Source organism: Homo sapiens, chromosome 16, assembly GCF_000001405.40.
Source record: "Homo sapiens chromosome 16, GRCh38.p14 Primary Assembly".
NCBI lineage: Eukaryota > Metazoa > Chordata > Mammalia > Primates > Hominidae > Homo > Homo sapiens.
In genome coordinates this window covers 29,274,978-29,295,690 of record NC_000016.10, presented here as the reverse complement: position 1 = coordinate 29,295,690, position 20,713 = coordinate 29,274,978, and the positions used below count along the sequence as shown (strand labels likewise).

The window sequence follows — 20,713 nt, the reverse complement described above, 5'->3', positions numbered from 1 at the left end:
CCGAGAGCAGAATACCAACCAGCAGGTGCAAAAGACGTGATTTAAACAAGCGTCCCGGTAAGGATGGGCGGGAGGATGCCACACAGACATGGTGGGAGGAAGCAGGGCAGCCCAGGTGGAGGCGGGGCCCACAGTGTGTGCAGGGGTCTTAAGAGGTCCGTGTGTTTGGAAAGTCACATAGTAAGATGTTGACAAAAGATAAAAATAAAGATGAGGATTGGGAAAAAGAAAAGAAAAAGAAAAAGAATGTGCTGCAGGGTGATATTCATCTCCTGTGGGAAACACCAGTTCTACCCACCTGCCACAGGCCCGGCCGCCAGGGTGCACCCACCTGCTGTAGGCCCGGCCACCAGGGTGCACCCACCTGCTGTAGGCCCGGCCGTCCGGGTGCACCCACCTGTCATAGGCCCGGCTGCCCGGGTGCACCCACCTGTCACAGGCCAGGCCGCCTGGGTGCAGTTTTTATCCCTATTTTGCAGGGAAAGAAGCTAAGGCGCAGAGAAATTATGCAGCTTGCCCCAGCCGGCCGTGGAAAGTGGAAAGACTCAAACCCAGTTCCACTGGTGTGGAGCCCAGCTCCTGCCTGCCCTGCCTGCCCCGCCTTCACCTGCTCCTCATGGAAAGACTGGGCTGTGAGAAAGGGGAGGGCTGAGCAGAGGGACCCAGCACACCCAGCCCTCACCCAGCCCCTGCATGGCCCAGGCCCTCCTAGGTCAACTGAAATACCATCTCTCCTCCCGGCAGCCCGTGACCTTCCATGCCCTTCCAAGGGCCTAAATGTGATGTCACTGCCCAGGCCCAGGGCTCTATATGTCCAAGGATCCCCTCCCTCTTCAGGGGAGGCTCACAGAGGGGAGGTGACCTGCCTGGTATCCCACAGCTCATGGGGGCCGGGCTGGGCATTTTCCACACAGAAAACATTTGATGTACTTCAAGCGAGTGTCTGGGGCACCCTCCCAGGCTTACCTCAATAAAAATGTTATGGTGGCCCGGGCTTAGTGACTTGCTTCCAAAGAACAGAGTAGAGCAGTGTGACAAGCGTGACCTCAGCCCAGCGGCCCAGGTCAGTGTCGACAGCCACACGTCCTGCTGGCGGTGCCAACCCCTGCGGGGATGTGAGGCACCAAGCACTTGACCCCTGCATGTTCTTCCTGAAAACCCAGGATCTCGCTCTACCCAGGAGAAAAACGCCAGGAGAACTCAAATTGAGGGACAGTCCACAAAATACTCAGCCGGTCCTCTTCAAAACTGTCAAGGTCCTCAAAAATAGGGAAATTCTGAGAAATGGTCTCAGTTGAGAGGAGGCCCTGGGGATGGAGTGTCACACGGGGTCCTGGGACAGAACAGAGATGTTGGTGAAAAAATGACTGAAATCAGAACCAAGTCTGACATTTGTTTGTAGTCAGTCAATGTTGTTGACGTACAGACCAACGTCATCTTCTCAGGGTAGCCAAATGCACCATGGAGACTTAAGACACCAGCGAGGGGGAGACTGACAACGGGGCATGGGAACGCAGGGCTCATGCCACAACTGTCCTAGAAATAGAAAATTCTTCCAAAGTAAAAAGTTTATGTTTAAAATATAGGGAAAAGACTTGAATAGACATTTCACCAAAGACGACATGTCAATGGCAAATAAACACATCCAAAGGAGCTCAACCTCCATGAAGAGGGGAAAAGCGCATCGAAGCCCACTGCACACCTGCTGGAATAACCCTGATCAAAACCCAGAGGATGGCAGGAGCCGGTAAGAATGTGGAGAAATCGGTTCCCTTGCTGCCGGGGGGCATGGGAAATGGCTCAGCCGCTTTGGAAAGCCAGCTGGTGCTGTTAAAAGGTGAAAGGTCGGCTTACTCAGGACCTGGCAGTGCCACCCCAAGGAATCTATGTGAGTGAAGTGAAACATACCGGACACTCATCGCTGCATTATCCCAAACAGCCCGACCTGCAAACAGCCACGGTGTCCCTGCTGACCCCGTGCCTCCAGCACAGCCTCCTCCTGGACTTGGGTAAGTCAATCCCCCAACAGGTGCACCCTCCCCTCCATTTCCACTCAGCCCTTATCCCCCAGGGACCCACTCCACACCTGGGGGCCCTGTGTGGTGACCTCCTGCCAGGCCAGCCTGCCCCAGAGGGAGGAACACAGAATCCATTTGGAACCAAAAGGGACTCAGCTCAGCCGGGAAAAGTAGGCTCTTTATTTCCAGCCTCACTGACCATGCGCTGCTCTGTGCCCATGGTGGGCCAGCCCTGGGCATGAGGAGATGAGCAGAGCTGGCCCCCGGACCCCTCCTTACCACGTCTGAACGGACAGCACTTCTGTGTCCAGGGGTGTGCGCCGGGCTCCCGGGCAGACAATCCCTGGGCTTTCGCGACTGGCACTGAAATGAGGCTGGGCAAGAAGGCACTGGGCCAGATTCCTCCCTGGGGCACTTAAACGGGGCCACAGGGAAAGAATCGATGTGGTGACGGGTGGAGGTGGGGCTCCATGGCAGCCACGGTCAGGAGCAAGCCCTCGGCAGCAAGGTATAAATAAGCCAAAGTGACAGGGGCAGATGAGTGACACGGACAGACCACATGCAGAGAGTGAGGGCGCCAATGGAGGGTGCCACCGGCCAGTGTGAGCCGCAGGGAGAAGGCAGATAGAGTGAGCTCCAGAGTCCTGACCCACGGACACCCAGGTCCTCTTGCCGGGCACCCGGAGCGCCTGGAATCCAGTTCCCGAGGCCTTGGCGGGGGCTGCTGCTCCAGGACCCCCTGGTTATGGCTGGGATGAGTTTGCAGAGGATGCCCCCACCACCAAGCTCACACCTATAAACACTGATCATACAAAGTGTGTCATTCTTGTCACACCAACTAAAACTGCCTTCGGAAGGCAGGGGAAAAGTACTCAGGGCACAACACTGCTCCAAGAATGGAATTCTCTGCAAGTCCAGCTGCTGAAACTGCCTTTTGTCACCTGGGACCAGTTTTATCCACAGCTGCTGAGGTCACTTGCTCCAACTCCAGAAGGAATTCTGCTCACAGCTGTCACACTGACCAGCACGTCCCAGGTCCTCAGAACTTTCCCAGCGCCAGTGAACTTTCTCAAAGAGCAATAGGTAACCTTCTCCTTTCTTGTAAAACCACCAACCTTCTACTGCTTCTCCAACCTCCACCATTTACCTGGTCGGCACATATGCCCCAAGATGCAATCCTTTCTTCCCAAATAAAACGTTAAACTTGGAAATTCGCCTCTACATTTTTATTTTGACTTGAACATACCCCAGCAACCGTGAGACCCCGAGGACACGAGTGACCTTCCCTGCTCCTGGTTCCTTCGTGTGCACAACAGGCCGTGCTGTCTCCTGGAGCCTGGGGCCTGGCACCTGGGAGCTCAGCCAGAGCGGCCCCAGCAACCTCCCTGTAGCTCCAGCAGTGCCATCCCTGTGGTCAGCGTGGACCTGGCCTCCCAGTGGCCCCAAGTCCCCCCATAGCTCCAGTACTGCTGTCCCTGCAGCGTGAACCCGGCCTCCCAGTGGCCCTGTATTCCATGGAGGCCTGGGCCCCCTGCCCTCCTGAGCCTCACAGTGACCAGCCAGCCTCACACGCTGCTGACCCTCAGTAGTGGCCAACCCCGTGTCTGTCGGAGGGCACAGGCCACCATCCCCATGGAGCTCAGGCCTGCTGCCTGGGCAGGGGCCCTCCAGGAAGCCTGGCACTTAGGGGTGGCAGCTCAAGCTTGTTGGGGGTGGGGAGCTGGCCGGGCAGTCAGGGCCCGTCATGTGCGACTTTGGGCCAATCCCATCCCCTCTGGGCCTCTGTTCCCATTTACCAGAGAAAGATGGTCTCCGCTGAGCCAACCACCTTCATCCAAACCGAAGGACAGAAACCACCTCTGCTGAGCCTGGAAGCAGCCAAGGGAGTGGAGAAGCCGGCGGGGATCCCCAGGTTGGGCCACACACACCCCAGTGAGGCTGCGGGAGAGACGTGCCACCTCCCGAGGTGCAGAGTTTCGCAGGGCACAACCCACTCCCGTCTGCTCCTCCAGCACCCTGTGACCCAGGATGGGCGGGTTTCCTGTGCCCCACTTCACAGACGGGAACATTGAGGCTGGGGGGAGCTGAGTGAGGAGTTTGCGGTCCCCAGCCACACGGTGTGACTCCAGCTTTGCTCAGATGCCACACGCTGCACGCACTCCTTTACTGGATGCACCCGGCCCCGCTGGACACTGACGTGCCCCCTCCCAGGACAGCAGCAGGAGCACCCAGCCCTCCTGGATGTCCCCCTGCCCCTCTGTGCCGCAGCCCTCATGACTCACTGGGAGGCCAAAAGGAAGCCCCAAGTGATTTTCTAGCAGCACCTCCCGCAGCCCTCGGGGTGAGGCTGGGCTGTTCTGCCTGCGAGTGGTGCTAGGGGAACCTCCTGAGGGGTCCCAGGAAGGCCCCTGGCCTCCTGCCTCCACACCCCTGATTTCTTGGATCCCTTTCTTGGTCAGTGAGAGCCGACTGGGTGAAGTCACCCCTGGAGGAGGAGGGAGCTGAAGCAGCCGGTGACTCACTCACACGAGACAGTGGGCGGTGGCCAGGGCAGAGCGGGACTCCCCATTGCTGGCTAAAATCCAGACAGCGCCTTGGCCCGAGGTGTCCCTGACAGGACGAGGGTGGAGTGGCAGCTGCTGAAACCTGAACTCCTCTGCCCTGCCCCCGTCCCTTGACCTCACGCATCTAGTAGGTCAGCGCCAGAGGAAATCCTCGAAGAAAATGGGCGTCTCCCTTGCTGAGCACAGAACCGCAGTCAGTCCTGTGTGCCCGCTCCCTGGATGAGGACAGGAAGGACGTGGGGGAGAGGCCACAGTCACCCTCAGGAGCCCCCAGACCCACTGGAAAGCAGCCCAGTGAGCATCTGAGAAGTACTGCCTGTGCCTGGTGTGAGGGTGCAAGGCGGGGGGCCGTGTGGCCAGGCAGCCTAGGGTTGCGCCAAAGCCCAGCAGGTATGGGACGAGCAGGACCAGACTGGGAGGGGCTCGGGGGAGCGGCGACCTGTGCTGAGCTTGAGTTGTGGCTGGGCTGGGAGGCCGGACAAAGGTGTGTTTCCTCTGGCCATGCAGGGGTCAGGCGGTGGTGCTGGGGAGGACGATGTGGGAGGAAGATGGGGCTGGGATGAGGGGCCAGGGCTGAGCTCAGCAGGTATTGGGAGGTGCCATGGGGCTGTGAACATGCATAGGTGGGGAGGCTGGGGCGGGGGCAGAGCAGGGGACAGTCCTGGAGCCAGCAGACAGGAGGAGGCATCTCTACAGCACCCCAGGCTTGGAGACAGGGCTGGCTCACCTCAAAGGGGGCCATGGGAGAGAGGAAGGTGGGCATCAGGGCTGGCCTGCCCCGGCCCCAGGAATACGTGGGAGTTGAGCTGCATGAGGGGTGGCCAGCCTAGGGCAGGGCAGGAGCCACGGGGCGTCCGCTCCTCTCTGTGGGTTTTGGTGTGGGAGGAGGAAGGACAAGCTCCTCCTGGAAGCAAAGGGGCCTGAGGACCCAGGAGCAGAGTGACCTTGTGGGCAGGGCCGTCCCTGAGGCCTGCTACATGCAGAGGACGTGGCCCCTGTGGCCAGCTTGGTGCCAGGAGCAGGTCCTGGGGGGTGGGGAGTAAGTCTCCCAGGGGCCGAGCTCCATGAGTGCATGTGGCGTGGACACTGGGCCTGCCACAGGGAGGCTGGTGTGGGCAGGAGGCTCCCTGGGAAGTGGAGAAGCGCTTTCTGTGAGCTTGTTCCAGGGCTCTGGTCAGCCCAGCCCGGGGTCTCATGGCCACACAGGTCAGCAGGAAGGGGAAGATGCCCCAGCAAGGAGGCAGGAAGGTGGCCTCTGCCCGGTGCATCAGTCTCGGAGGTGGGGGACCCAGGGTTTGTTCTCAGCAGGCCTCCTCTCCTCCTCTGCCTCACAGGCACCTCTGGGATGGGAGAGGCGGTGTCTGCAGGGCCCTTCCCACAAAGTCTGTCCATCTGCCACTGCTGCTGCTGCAAGGGGCTACGGGTCCTCTGGCGACTCTGAACCCCTCGGAAAAGGGAGGCTTGAGCTGCCCACTGCACCCTTGACCCCTTCTGAGCCTCTCGGCAAAGTCCCAATCCACCCTCCTCAGGAGGTCCCAGGGACTTGCCCACATGGGCACCCCATGCCCTCAGCCAACCAACCCCACCATGGCCCACACGCCTGCCCCTCCCTCTGTCTCCTTGGGGCCCCGCACACGTTGGCACAGAACATCTCCCTGCTGGGTGACCTCTTCCCGCGAGCGGCCCAGGACAAGTGCAGCTTTCTGGGCAGACACTGGGAGCGGGCATTCCCGATTCACAGAGGACTCACCTCGGCGTACTACAGCGGCCTGGCAGAGCCCAGCCTGCAACAGGGGCCTCGTATGCATCTGTTGAGTACACCAGTGAATCCCAATCCCCCAGTTCGTTTTCTACCCCACAGGCCCAACCACTGGGTGGGGTGGGGGAGGCATTTCGCTGGACGCCATGGAGACGCAGTATCGTCTGGGAACCTGAGTCTCTGTAAACCCCGGGGTCGGACAGACCAGTGCCAGCAAGCTCCTTCGCAGAGAGGAACTCAGACACGAATCCCTGGAGACTCCTAGTTCTCATACAGAGCTTGTTTTTTACTTCCATGTTCAAAGTCCGGATTTTCACAGGTCTGCTTCTCCCGGGGGCCACGCCTGCATTTCTGCGAACGATCCCCAGCTGTCCCTAATGAAACGTGCTCCTCCACTGAGAGGGAGCCCAGCCCCACTCAAGTGGGTCAGAGCTCGTCCGTAGGAGGCTGTGTGGGGGTCACGCCACCACAGGACGCAGATCTGCCAGAAGCCTGTTTTATTGCACTTAACTAATTCCCAAGATAAACCACTGGGAATTTCCATGTAAGCACTTAGGCCTCTGTTTATGAGAATCTTTGATCCACTGAGAATGTTTAGAACTCACTGAAGCATCCCTGGCCCTGCCCAGCACCAAGCCTTCCAAGATGCGTGAGGGCAGGGAAATTGTCGGCCTGTGCTTGGTCTGTGGGGATCCAGGACCCCAGGAGGGGACCCCAATAGGGAGCCTCTGCCCCCCAGGTGGTGGGGTCTCTGCTGGGACTCTGCAGGCTCCTGCCCGTGGCCAAGTTCATGGCTGTCTTTTCCAGAGCTGCCCCGGAGCCCTAGACAGCCCCATGGAAGGGCCCATCTTCCTCCGGCCGTGGAGGAAATTTGCAGCCATCCGTGACCTGCAAACTGTAGCTTATGATGGACTGCTCCCCATCCACCAAAGCCCAGCCACTTGGTTTGGAAGCCACTGCCCCAAATGGCCCCTCTCCAGTCACTGAACTGCAGTTCAAATGCCCCACCCCTTGGCTCTTTGAGCAGCCAGCCTGCCTTCTTGCTCTGGGATGGTTTCTTCAAAACCCTCTGGAGTATGTCCAGTTCTTCTGTTATTTCAGGGTGTTTTATTTCCAGCACAGATTTCCACTTCTGCTACCACCGGGATGGAAAAGGCCTCTTCCCTCCGATTCCCCCAATCCCAAGAATCCAATTCCTTCGCTAATGCTGAGTGCAGACATAGTCTCTACAATCCAGAAGGCTGAGTGAGGTGGAAATGTCGGTGCAGCCTGCAGCTCACCTGGTTGTCACTCACAGATCGGCCTCGGAAAGCTCCAGGAAGTTGATTTGGGATGAGCCAGCCATCCCGCACAGATGGTGGGAGGGAGAGGAGGCCGGAGCTTCAGCCAGTGCAGTGCCGTGGCCCCTGTTCTGTGGTTCACTGGGGTGTGAGGCCTTCCTTGGGCTCAGAGAGGGGGCCTCCGAGTCCTCATCCACAGAAGCCCTCTGTGCCACCAGCAGGGAACAGCCAGCAAACAGCCTTCACCCTGAAGATCCAGACGGAATTCTTGGTTTCTACAGCTGCTCCCTGCCTCTCCCCACAGCCACGGGAAGGGGAGTTAACCGAGGCAGCCCCCACCCGAGACAGACCTGCACAGGGCCAAGAACTTGCCCTGTGGTAGGGCTGGGGGAGGAGCGGCTGGTGGACTTTCTGTGTCAAAGGCAGGTGTCACTTTCAGCTCATTAATTTCACTTCTACAGGTTCTCAATCCACCAAAATGAGCTCTTTACAAAGGCCAGGACCTGCCCTTCTAGAGGACAGGCTCATACTTCCCAAAGCTTCAGGACTTGGGGTCCTGTGGCTGCCCATCCGTCAGCAGAACTGGGTGAGGCCAGCTGTGACATCAGACAAGTCCCCTGCCTCTGGCAATTCCTCAGCGGGGGGCATGACCTACTGTGCATTCCAGGGCTGGGGCACATGTACTTACCCCTTAGCCTTGGACCACAAGCCTCCCCCAGCCCAAAATGGAATGGGGACAGCCTCTGCCACAGGGAGGGGCAGGTGGTGCCGTGTGAGGGGCGGTGGCACCCAGGGCTTTTCTCACAAGGAAAAGGAACCTCGAAGTGTTTCTCTCTGCACACTTTGCCTCCCTCAAAGGCGGGCTCCTTCCTCTCCCACCCGCATCAGCAGCTGAGGCCCCAGAAGGGCCCACCTGTGTCCCGCGCACCATGCGTGAGATCGCTGATTGCCTCCTGGGGTAGTCGCAGCATGCTCGAGCCTCTCTGGACCCCATCCCAGCTGTCAACCAGGAAGCCCCCGTCAGGCTCCAAGACCCCCAGACGCTGGCCCGGGCTCCCCATTTTCACTTGATCCTCCCCGCCGTGTTTCTGTCTTCCTGGGGCTGCAGGCATTTTGGTCATGGCTGCATCACACCAGTGTCTGCGTCCGTGGCCACGCAGCCTCCTCCTTTTCTCCGTGTCTTAAACTTCTTTCTGTTCCCTCTTATCGGGACCTCCTGATGACATCAGACGCCGCCCCACCATGGTTCAGAACAATCTTTCCATCTCAAGATCCTCAGTTCAATCACATCTGCAGAGACCCTTTTTTTCCGTGTAAAGTAGCATTCACAGGTCCCAGGGATTAGGATCTGATATCTCTGGGGCCAGTACAGATGGGTTTGAGATTTGATCATGGAGAAAAGAAATGACGGCATTTAGCTCTATATCCTAGTCAACAGGGAGCCGCTGAGCATGACTGAGAAGAACGTCAAAAATCAAGCAGTTTTGTAAAAGAGTAAGGCCTCTCCACTCTCCTAAACCCAGCCAATTTCTCAAAATTTGTGAGAGCGGCGTCCTCCCAGCAGCAAACACAAGGGACACGTGTGTGCACCCAGACCGGCACCTACCACTCTAGACAGTCCCCAGAGCGAGGCTTAGGCCTGACGGCCGGAGATGCAACCGTGGCCAGGGGCCCAGAGCTCATCAAAACCTGCTCAGTCCAAGGCCTTAGGCTGAGCCTGACATCGTGTCATATTGTGGAAACACTCGTTCCCTCATTCAGCCAAATGCTTTTTAAAGCGACTTTTTGGCCGGGCACGGTGGCTCACGCCTGTCATCCCAGCACTTTGGGAGGCCGAGGTGGGAGGATCATTTGAGGTCAGGAGTGTGAGACCAGCCTGACCAATATGGTAAAACCCTGTCTCTACTAAAATACAAAAAAAAAAAACTAGCAGGGCATGGTGGTGTGCGCCTGTAATCCCAGCCACTCAGGAGGCTGAGGCAGGAAAATCACGTGAACCCGGGAGGCGGAGGTTTCAGTGAGCCAAGATCTTACCACTGCACTCCAGCCTGGGTGACAGAGTGAGACTCCGTCTCGAAACAAAAAAACAAAAAAAAAAACAAAAAAAACAAAAAAAGTGACTTTTTATTCTAAAACAGTTTTAGATTTACAGAAAAAATATGTAAATCTGTAAATGTCCTGATGGGGCTTGTGTTCTAGGAGTAAGACATCAGCTCTGCTGCTCAGATGTCCAGGAGGGTCTTCGGCGGAGCCTGGAGCCCCCCACCCCAGGGTCAGGGGTCTCTCCCTGGAAGGAGGGATCAGCGCCTGGACTTTGGGGAGGCCGCTTGGGGGCCACGGTGTGTGGAGACCCTGGGACATTCGTGTGAGTGCAGGTGGGGGTGAGACGCAGAGGAGAGGCATCTTGGGAGGAGAAAGAGCGCGGTGCCTGGGGGTGGCTGTCAGGTTGGGAGATCCTGGGGCTCATAGGGATTCTGGGGTCCCAGGGAACCCCTAAGTTTGGAGGCTGGAAGGGCCCCCAGCTGCCGTGGCCCTGGAGAGTTCCCAGAGTATTTCCTGACGAAATGAACAGAAGACCACAGCCTTCTGCAGCGGAGGAGAAGCATGCGGAGCATCCACATCTACAAAGGCCCCAAAGTGGAAAAACCTGTTGTTTTTCCTGAGCAGCCCGGCTGGAAACAATGGCGGTTTTGTTTCGCAGACTCCGCAGAATCTGGCGGGCAGGGGGATGGGGGCGCCGGATGCTGCAGGGAGGCGGCTGAGGGAAGGAGGGGGCGTCGACCCTTCCTGACCCACGGAGGACACCTCTCTGGCCCGCTTCGGGGGGGTGGGGGGTGGGTCGGTTTGCCCGGGAGGAAATCCCACTGCTTCCCACTCACAAGCCGGTGGGTGGCCGCGAGGCCTGGCCGCACAGCCTCATTCCTGCGACTTTCTTCTGCCTTGTGGCATGGCTTTTTCTTTTCCCCTAAGGAAAGTTTGCTTAAAGAGAAAGAGACACACATACCATTCTCTGGTCCTTTGAAGGGTTGAGCTAAGCTGGGTCAAGAGGAAATGGCTTGCTCAGTCACCCCTGAGAACAAAATACTCCCACGAGTTTTGGTGAGGCACTTGTGTCTTCTCAGCTCAAATCTCTACCACCCCACGGACAAGGCAGTTCAAATCCAGGCTCACCACCACCTGCTGTGTGGGTTGGGCAAGATGTGCGCATCTCTGAGCTTCGGTTCCTTGAGTGTAGAATAAGCATAACATCTGTGTAGAAGGATTACTGTGAGGGATGCTGTTTGTACACCTCCCACTGCCAGAACGCAAGTTCCATGAGTCTGGGGCTGTGTTTTCTCCATTGCTGCAAACCCTCTAAAATGTTAGCCGAGTTCATCAGGACCACAAGGACCACCACCACCATCATCGTCACCCTCACCCAAACGCTCAAATCTCCAAGTGTCTAAACTCATGGGTCTGTGCCAAATGCTACCATGCTTAGCGTCCCCAAAGCTAGAGTCACCACGAAGAAGGTTCTCTCCAGTATTACTGCCTTAAACTTCTAGCCCAGAACCCTCAATAAACTTGGGCACCTTTTGTGCTGGGCCTCCTTTAGCCGATGGCTCCAGGGCCCCTATCCCTGGCACAGAAGGCCATCGGCAATGTAGGGGGTAAGCTGGGGGGGGGGTGGGGGGTGAGCCGTTCAGCTCTGCTGAGCTGTGCTGTCTCATGGGAGTGGCCCCACCCTTCCAGGAACCTTCCTTGAGCAAAATCGTCAAATGTCAGCAGGTGGTCTTGAAATCCCTTCCTCTGTGACCCAGTAATTCAGAGATCTTAATGATGTTTCCCCAAAGTTAGAACATAGTGGCTGTTCCCTAACACACACACACACACACACCCTTTCTCTGTTATGTGTCTCCCATAATTTTTCTGTTTCTCAATTATGTTTCTTTCTCTGTTATGTTTGTCTATTATTTCTTCTTTGAATTGTCAATGCCTGCTTCTACTGGTCTGTACCAGGTTCTATTGCAATCACCTCTGGTTGGGGCAAAACTGCACATTTAGCTATTTTATGAGTGTTTCCTTGTACTTCATAGAGGGCACCAGAGCCCTTGCAGCATGTGGGCACACGGGTCAGAGGATGCAGACTGAAAGGAGCTTCTGGACGTGCATTCTATTCTCATTCTGGAGCCAAGGAAGTGAGAGGGGAAAAGGGAAGTGATTCTAAGCCTTTTGTGGGGTCTCATACATAACTCAGTTTCCACAAAGCTGTGCCCCAGCTCAGCCCTATGGATAGAAGCATGGTCTGGGGTTCCTTTGCTGACCAGGGTGTGTACTTTGTCCAAGTTATTGACCTTCCCAAACCTCATCAATGCACTTAAAAAGAGCACTTGCAAACAATGAATCTAGACATGGACCTTCACAAAGAAATAACTCAAAATGGATCCCAGGCCTAAATGAAAAATGAAAAACTATAAAACTCCTAGAAGATAACATAAAAGAAGATCTAGATGACCTAGGGTTTGGCAATGACTTTTTAGATCCAGCACCAAAGGCAGGGTCCAGGAAAGAAATAATTGATAAGCTAGACTTCATTAAAATGAAAACTTCTGCTCTGTGAAAGATGCTGCCAAGAAAATGAAAAGACAAGCCACAGACTGGGAGAAAATATTTTTGATGGAAATATCTGAGAAGAGAGGCTTGTTATCCAAAATATACAAAGAATTCCTAAAACTCAACAATTTGAAAATAAACAACCCAATTTAAAAAGTGGGCCAAAGATCTTAAATGATGCCTCACCAAAGAAGATACACAGATGGCAAATAAGCATACGAAAAGATGCTCCCGGCTGGGCACGGTGGCTCACGCCCGTAATCCCAGCACTTTGGGAGGCCAAGGCAGGCAGATCACCTGAGGTCAGGAGTTGGAGACCAGCCTGGCCAACATGGCAAAACGCTTTCTCTACTAAAAATACAAAAAAAAAAAAAAATTAGTGGGGTATGGTGGTGCATGCCTGTAATCCCAGCTACTCAGGAGGCTGAGGCAGGAGAATCACTTGAACCTAGGAGGCGGAGGTTGCAGTGAGCTGAGATTGTGCCACTGCAGTCCAGCATGGGCAACAAGAGTGAAACTCCATCAAGGAAAGAAAAGAAAGAAAGAGAGAAAGAAAGAAAGAAAGGAAGGAAGGAAGGAAAAAGGAAGGAAGGAAGGAAGGAAGAAAAGAGGCTCCTCATCACACATGTCATCAGGGAAATGCAAATTAAAATAAGCATAAGATATCGCCTCTCACCTAACAGCATGGCTAAAACCCAGAACTCCGACAACACCAAATGCTGGGCGAGGATGTGGAGCAACAGGAACTCTCACTCATTGCTGATGGGAATGCAAAATGGTGTGGCCACTGTGGAAGACAGTTTGGTAGCTTCTTAGAAAGCTAAACATGCTCTTACCATACCACCCAGTAATTACACTCCTTGATATTTACCCAAAGGAGTTGGAAACTTATATTCACATAAGAACCTACACACAGATGTTTATAGCAGCTTTATTCACTGTGGCCAAAATGTGGGAGCACCCAAGATAGCCCTCCATAAGTGAATGGATAATAAACTGTGGTCCATCCAGACAGTGGAGCATTATTCAGCACTAAACAGAAATGAGCTGCAAACCATGAAAGGATGTGGAGGAAACGTAAGTGCATATTACTAAGTCAAAGAAGACAGTCTTAAAAGGCTACGTAGTGTGTGCTTCCAACTGTGTGACATCCTGGAAAAGGCAAAACTGTGAGAGCCATCAAAAGATGAGTGTTGCCCGGGGCTGGCAGGAGGATGAGATGAACAGGCAAGACAGAGAGGATTTTTAGGGCGGTGAAACTACTTTGTATGATACCATAATGGTGGATAGATATTGTTAGAAATTTTTCCAAACCCACAGAATGTACACCACCAGGAATGAACCCTGATGTATGACAGAGCAGGAGCATCGCCATTTTGGACAAGTACCACTGTTTTAAAGTTCCCCATGACCAAAAACGGCCTAAATCCAACCCAAGGGGCATCAGCCTAATGGCTAATGTCAGCATGACCATAAATCACAAATGACATCTCCAACCAGAAACATGCCAACCCTAAGATAAACCCCTCCGTAACCAGAGACATGCCAGCCCAGAGGTAACCTTCCCTCCAACCAGAGACATTCCAACCCTGTAATAAACTTCTCCTCCACACAGAAACATCCTAAGGCTGTGATAAGCTCTCTCGCCCTGAACCCTTCCATACTCTTAGTCTGTAAGACAGAGCACTCCTGACTGAAATTGGCCAGAAGCTCCTCTCAGGTTTATTCTCCAAAATAAACCTATCTTGGACTGTTGAGCCACTTTTCATGATTCTTTCCTCTTTCTTTAACTCTTACAACGTAAACCATGGACTTTGGTTGATAATAATGTGTCAGTGTAGGTTTACAAGCTGGAATGAATGTACCACTCTAGTGAGGGTTGTTGATAATGAGAGAGGCAATGCCTGTGTGGGGGCAGAGGATATATGGGAAATCTCTGTACCTTCTGCTCAATGTTGCTGTGAACTTAAAACAGAGGTTTAGACTTTGCTCTAAAAATGAAGTTTATTAAAAATAGCACTTTCTTTATAGCTGTGTTGGGATGATATGAGATAACACAGGGAAAGCATGTAGAAAATGCCTGGCACATAATTATCATTACTATTGAGTTTCCTTTCCCATAGAACCCATCTGGCTTAGCACTATATTCTAAGCGTTTGGGCATATCACTGATGCTTGATAAATGTTTGAGGAATGAATGAGGAGGACCCTGCAACATATGCAGCCTGCATCTGCACATTGGCAAGAGCAACCCACAGCCCAACTGTGAATGTCTTAAATTACTTGGGCTCATTGTCCAAGATTTTTTATTTCTCCCAGCTATCGGACCCTAAGCAATTTGAGAGCACAGCCCATATCGTACATGTCTATGTATGACATGGTTGTATATTAAGGAAAGAAGCTACTGAACAATTTTACACTGAAAATGTCAAAACATTATTGAGAGAAATTAAATAAGACCTAAATAAATGGAGAAGTATACCATGTTCATGGATTCAAACACTCAATACCATTACAATGTTAATCTTCCCCAAAATTTATCTGTAATCTCAAAGTATTTGCAATCAAAACTCTAGCTGATTTTTTTTTTGGTGGAAGTTGATAAGCTGTTTCTAAAAGTTATACAGAGATGCAAAGGGATCTAGAATAGCCTATGTATTTATTTATTTATTGAGACAGAGTTTTACTCTTGTCACCCAGGCTGGAGTGCAATGATGCAATCTTGGCTCACTGCAACCTCCGCCTCCCAGGATCAAGCAATTCTCCTGCCTCAGCCTCCTGAGTAGCTGGGATTACAGGCATGTGCCACCATGCCCGGCTAATTTTTGTACTTTTAGTAGAGACGGGGTTTCATCATATTGGCCAGGCTAGTCTTGAACTCCTGACCTCGAGTGATCTGCCCACCTCGGCCTCCCCAAGTGCTGGGATTACAGGCGTGATCCACCATGCTGGCTGCCAGATGATCTCTAAAAAGAACAACACAATTAGAGGAGCTATACTATCTGACTTTAAGACTTACTATAAATATACAATAATCAACAAAGTATTATATTGGTGTATGAATGGACAAATAGTTCAATAAAATTAGAGAATCTAGACATAGACCCCATATATACAACTGACTTTTAGTAAAGACATCATGGCAACTCACTTGGAAAAGGGAAGACTTTTTAATAAATGGTGCAGGGACAATTGGTGATCACGTGGAAGGAAATAAATCTCTACCTCTATCTCAATCTGTGCACAAATATGAATTCGCAATGCATTGTTGCCTAAACATAGAACCTAGAGCAATAATGTTTACAGAAGAAAACACTAGAGAATATCTTTGTGATGTTGGGATAGGCAAGTATTTATCAGACAGAAGCCAAAAGTACTAACCAGAAAAGAAAAAAGTTAAATTTGGCTTTATCAAAATTGATAATTTCTGCTCATTAAATAACACTATTAGGAAATGGGAAAAAAAACAAGCTACAGACTAGGAGAAAATATTCACAGTGTAGATTTGGCATGGAACTGATCATCAAATAATATAAAGAACTGCTTCAAACCAGTAAGAACAAGACAAACCACCTGCTAAAAATGGACAAAAGGGCTGGGCGCGGTGGCGCACGCCTGTAATCCCAGCACTTTGGGAGGCCGAGGTGGGAGGATTGCTTAAGGTCAGGAGTTCGAGACTACCCTGACCAACATGGTGAAACCCTGTCTCTACTAAAAATACAAAAATTAGCCAAGGCATGGTGGCTGGCGCCTGTGATCCCAGCTACTCAGGAGGCTGAGGCAGAAGAATTGTTTGAACCCTGGAGGCAGAGTTTGCAGTGAGCCGAGATCACTCCATTACACTGCAGCCTGGGCAACAGAATGAGACTCCATCTCCAAAAACAAAAACAACAACAACAAAAAATGGACAAAAGATTTGAACACAACCTTATGCAAGAAAATCCACAAATGGTCCCTAAGCTCAGTAAAAGGGGGTCCACATCATCAGTCATCAGGGAACTAGAAATGCAAATCCCACAGTGAGATGCAGCCTCACGCTCACTAAAAGAGCTAAAAGGAAAAAACAAGACAAGCCCAAGTGTAGGTAATGAAGCAGGACAACCAGGTCCCTCACTGATCGTCAGGGAGTTACTGTGGAAATCTCTGCGAGGGTTTCTAATAGGCAAAATGTCTTCTGCTCAGTGACCCCTCATTTCAATTCCTAGGTAGGCACATAAGAGAAGTGAAACGTGGCCACAAGAAGGCATGGATAAGAATGCTGACAGCAACTTTATTCGTGACAGTCAAAACCCCTCTAACATTCCAAAGATCTATTCAAATGTTAACAAGTAAGTGACCTGAAACGGTGATAATTCATTCATCCCATGGGCTCTTGCTCAGTGATAAAAAGGAATGAGCCACTGAAATACACAACAGCATAAATTAATCTCAAAAACACCATGTGAAGCAAAAAACCGGCAGATACAAAGGAACATAAGCTATAGGATTCTGCTTAAAGGAAGTTCAAGAAAAGGCAGAAGTAACGCAGGCTATAGAGATTCAAAGAGTGGCTGCCTCTGGGAGATGTTGGTGGAACTGACTGGAAAAGAGATGAGAGAAATTTCTGGGGTGAAAAACGTTCTATGTCTTCATATGAGTGTTGATTATATAGGCTATACATTTGTCAAAACTCATCAAATCACACACTTAACATATGTGCTTATTACTGTAAGTTATGCTTCAGTAATACACGCATACACATGTGTGTATATATACTTCATTCAAATGAAGTCATAGTCTCTATAGATATCAACATACTTAAGTATTTAGAAAAGAACTTCCGGGAATGGCATGAGAGCTGAGTGGTTATGTGAACCTTCCCGCAGATAACAACTCCAAACACTTCATAAAATGTAAACAGTGATGATTTAAATACTCTATAAAGAGATGAGAAGCCAAGAGAAGCCAGAGGAGAGGTGACTGTCAACTGCAAATGGAAGTGTTAGGAGCTGTGAGTTTGCAGCTTTCTGTCTTGACGGCACAGCCTTGGTGGAAATCACAGCCCGACAGACTCCAGGTGCCAGAGATGAGGGGCAAGACTGCCTGGGTGTGGAGTATATACATACAGGGGAGATCTTGGCAGTGAGAAAAGTTGGCTTGAAACTCCACATCCAGGGTGAGCTCTGCCCAAATCCCTGGCTGACAATTAGACTGTGCATATGCAGAGGGAGTCCCAGGCAGCCACCAATAAGCAGGGAAACGCCAGAGTGGAGGCACTTCTTGAAAGATGGAGTTGCACAGGGCAAGGTCTGTGTGCTGCTGCCTTTTTAAATGAGTGCATGCCCCAGCTGTGTGCAGCTCAAGAGGCAGACACCTGAAGCCGTAGATGCTTGAAGAGGACAGAGCCCAAAGCTGGCAGAGCTGTGGAAATTCAGGAGTACTCACTGGAAGCAAGGAAGCCACTGAGACATTGAGACCCTAAATCTGAGCATAGCCTTAGCCCAGATCCATGGCTGCCTGCCCCGTTGCACAGGTGCAGGGAAAATCTCCAGGATTCAGGCTTAAAAATCAGCAGCTGCAGCCATAAGAAGAGAGCAGGGGCCCGGCGCGGTGACTCACACATGTAATCCCAGCACTTTGGGAGGCTGAGGCAGGTGGATCACTTAAGGTCAGGAGTTTGAGACCAGCCTGGCCAACAAGGTGAAAACCTGTCTTTACTCAAAATACGAAAATTAGCCAGGTGTGGTGGTATGCACTGATAGTCCCAGCTACTCAGAAGGCTGAGACAGGAGAATTGCTTGAACCCGGGAGGTGGAGGTTGCAGTGAGCCGAGATCACGCCACTGCATTCTAACCTGAGCGACACAGCAAGGCTCCATCTCAAAAAAAAAAAAAAAAAAAAAAGACAGCAGGGACATTAGCTGCTTACCACAGAGATGGCAATGTTTGTCCTTAGAATCCAGCACATGACAGCTGTTAGAACAAAAAAAGCAACAATCTTCAGAAGAACACAACAGATTCCAGAGCTGCTGCTGACATAGCATCTACATTCTACATGTAGATTACCTGACACGTGCATGTAGACATGACACATGCAATGTTCAAATGTTAAATGACATTCAACAAAACAGGGAAGTGTGACTCGTGCTCAAGAACAAATGATTCCCAGTTAATCCAGATAATGGATTTCACAGAGAGAGTTGAAATGAGATGTCATAAATGTGTTCAGAGAGCTGAAGGAAAATGTGCTATCAAAAACCAAACAGGCCGGGCACGGTGGCTCATGCCTGTAATCCCAGCACTTTGGGAGGCTGAGGCAGGTGGATCACCTGAGGTCAGGAGTTTGAGACCAGCCTGGCCAATAAGGCGAAACCCCGTCTCTACTGCAAATACAAAAATGAGCTGGGTGTGGTGGCAGGTGCCTATAGTCCCAGCTACTCGGGAGGCTGAGGCAGGAGAATCGCTTGAACCCGGGAGGCAGAGTTTGCAGTGAGCCGAGATCATGCCGCTGTGCTCCAGCCTGTGGGACAGAGCAATACCCCATCTCAAAACAAAAAAACCCAAAAATGGAAAAACCCCAAACAGGTAGGAAGCCTCAACAAAGTAACAGAAACTACAACAGACACGTGATAAATCTGGAGCTCAAAAGTACCATGACTGAGATTTTAAAAACTTGCTAGTTTTTAAACAGATTGGGGTTGGAAGAAGAAAGAATCAGAGAACTTGAAAATAAGTGAAAACAAATTACTTAATTTGAAAAATGGAGTAAACATTATTGAAAAGAAAGGAATAGAACCAGAAACCTATGCAAAAACCGCCAGCAGTGCAGCCTATGTGGAAATGGAATTCCAGAGGCATGAGAGGGAAAGTCACTGGAAAAATATGTGAAGAAATGACATAAAACTTCCCAGATTTGGTGCAAAACATAAATTTACAGTTCTAAGAATCTCAGTGAAGCCCGGGCAGTATAAACAAATCCGTCGACAACAGAATGGATAAACGAACTGTTTTATATTCACAAAATGAGATACTATTCAGCAATAAAAATTATAAACTAGAGCTACATGTAACAGAATGAATAACTCTTCACAAAAAATATATTGAACAAAAGAAGCCTAATGCACAGGAATAACGTGATATGATTCCACTCATATAAAGTTCAAATAGGCGAGACTAACTCAAGGTGATAGAGGTGAAAATGGCAGCGCCTTTAGTGAAGAGGAGAGGGAAGTCCCACGGAGGTGCAGTAGGAGCATCTCTGGGGTGTTGGTCTTGTTCCGTTTCCTGATCTGATTGGTGGCTTTGTTTTGTGAAGACGCTTTGCATTAGATATATACAACTTTGCTTTTCTGCACATACATTATACTTGAATTGCAAAGTAAGAATGTTTTTAATTTTAAAAAGGGATAGACAGAGAATAATGAGAGGTAAGCGACGTTTTCATTTGAGGAGCCAACTTCAACCCAAATCCTGGAGGTCGAGAAGGAACCAGCTATGCTGAAGGTCAGGGAGGAGCACTTGGCACAGGGGCCTTGGGGTGAGGAGGAGTCACACATGATCTAGAAGCAGGTCATGGGGGCTGGGTGCAGGGGCTCACACCTGTGATCCCAGCAATGTGGGAGGCCAAGCAGGGAGAATCACTTGAGTCCAGACCAGCCAGGGCAAAATAGCAAGACCCTGTCTCTATAAAAAAATTTAAAAATTGGCCGGGCGCAGTGGCTCACGCCTGTAATCCCAGCACTTTGGGAGGCTGAGGCAGGCGGATCACAAGGTCAGGAGATCGAGACCATCCTGGCTAACACGGTGAAATCCCGTCTCTACTAAAAATACAAAAAAATGGCCCGGCGTGGTGGCAGGCACCTGTAGTCCCAGCTACTTTGGAGGCTGAGGCAGGAGAATGGCGTGAACCAGGGAGGTGGAGCTTGCAGTGAGCCGAGATGGCGCCACTGCACTCCAGCCTGGGTGACAGAGCAAGATTCCAACTCAAAAAAAAAAAAAAGAAAAGAAAGAAAGAAAAAGAAAAAGAAAAAAAAAATTGGTAGTTGTGGTGTAGTCCCATCTTGGGAGTCCTGCTTGGGAGGCTAATGTGGGAGGATGGCTTGAGCCCAGGAGTTCAAGACTACAGTGAGGTATGATTGTGGCCCTGCACTCCAGCCTGAGCAACAGCCTGAGACCCCATTTCTTTCTTTTTTTTTTTAAACAGAAGCTGTCTGTGGGTATTGATGGCATATTGTTATCTTACCCATAAAAGGAGTGGAGCTACTATCCAGCAGTGGCTCAGGGCACCTGGGACATGGGATACTGGATAATCCCTGTGGCTATTTCATTTGGGGCATCAGCAATGGATGTGGGGTTAAAAAGAGCGCATAGACGTGTGTGCAGCGTGAGAGTGAGACAGCCAGGGGCCAAGACACACGGACACACAGTCACAGAGGGAGACAGACACACTGAGGAAGGTGGACAGAGAGGCCGAGGGACACAGAGGGGAGGGAAAGACTGAGGCTGAGACCATGGTGCGCAC

General features: G+C 51.4%; 1 long non-coding RNA gene across 2 annotated transcripts, besides 5 other annotated features; it reads left to right on the top strand.

The window, feature by feature from the left end:
• The first annotated feature begins 1,512 nt into the window (after window positions 1-1,512).
• Window positions 1,513-13,971, top strand: LOC105371159 (uncharacterized). Of its 2 annotated transcripts, XR_007065043.1 has the most exons (4): window positions 1,513-1,747; window positions 1,940-2,009; window positions 2,970-4,876; window positions 6,646-13,971. It is a non-coding gene; the product is annotated as an uncharacterized LOC105371159 (long non-coding RNA). The 2 variants fall into 2 exon arrangements; XR_007065044.1 differs by having other exon boundaries at window positions 1,513-2,009; window positions 7,459-13,971.
• Window positions 7,812-8,417: an enhancer, noted in NCBI's record as "H3K4me1 hESC enhancer chr16:29298595-29299200 (GRCh37/hg19 assembly coordinates)". NCBI's record gives its function as "activates a minimal SCP1, AML or CMV promoter by ChIP-STARR-seq in naive H9 embryonic stem cells {active_cell/tissue: H9 hESC(naive)}" and the evidence as "EXISTENCE:reporter gene assay evidence [ECO:0000049][PMID:30033119]".
• Window positions 8,418-9,024: an enhancer, noted in NCBI's record as "H3K4me1 hESC enhancer chr16:29297988-29298594 (GRCh37/hg19 assembly coordinates)". NCBI's record gives its function as "activates a minimal SCP1, AML or CMV promoter by ChIP-STARR-seq in naive H9 embryonic stem cells {active_cell/tissue: H9 hESC(naive)}" and the evidence as "EXISTENCE:reporter gene assay evidence [ECO:0000049][PMID:30033119]".
• Window positions 9,378-10,170: an enhancer, noted in NCBI's record as "H3K27ac-H3K4me1 hESC enhancer chr16:29296842-29297634 (GRCh37/hg19 assembly coordinates)". NCBI's record gives its function as "activates a minimal SCP1, AML or CMV promoter by ChIP-STARR-seq in naive H9 embryonic stem cells {active_cell/tissue: H9 hESC(naive)}" and the evidence as "EXISTENCE:reporter gene assay evidence [ECO:0000049][PMID:30033119]".
• Window positions 10,171-10,964: an enhancer, noted in NCBI's record as "H3K27ac-H3K4me1 hESC enhancer chr16:29296048-29296841 (GRCh37/hg19 assembly coordinates)". NCBI's record gives its function as "activates a minimal SCP1, AML or CMV promoter by ChIP-STARR-seq in naive H9 embryonic stem cells {active_cell/tissue: H9 hESC(naive)}" and the evidence as "EXISTENCE:reporter gene assay evidence [ECO:0000049][PMID:30033119]".
• Window positions 10,636-10,836: a silencer, noted in NCBI's record as "peak2559 fragment used in MPRA reporter construct". NCBI's record gives its function as "represses an SCP1 promoter by STARR-seq MPRAs in K562 erythroleukemia cells {active_cell/tissue: K562}" and the evidence as "EXISTENCE:reporter gene assay evidence [ECO:0000049][PMID:32103011]".
• Window positions 13,972-20,713: the final 6,742 nt, after the last annotated feature.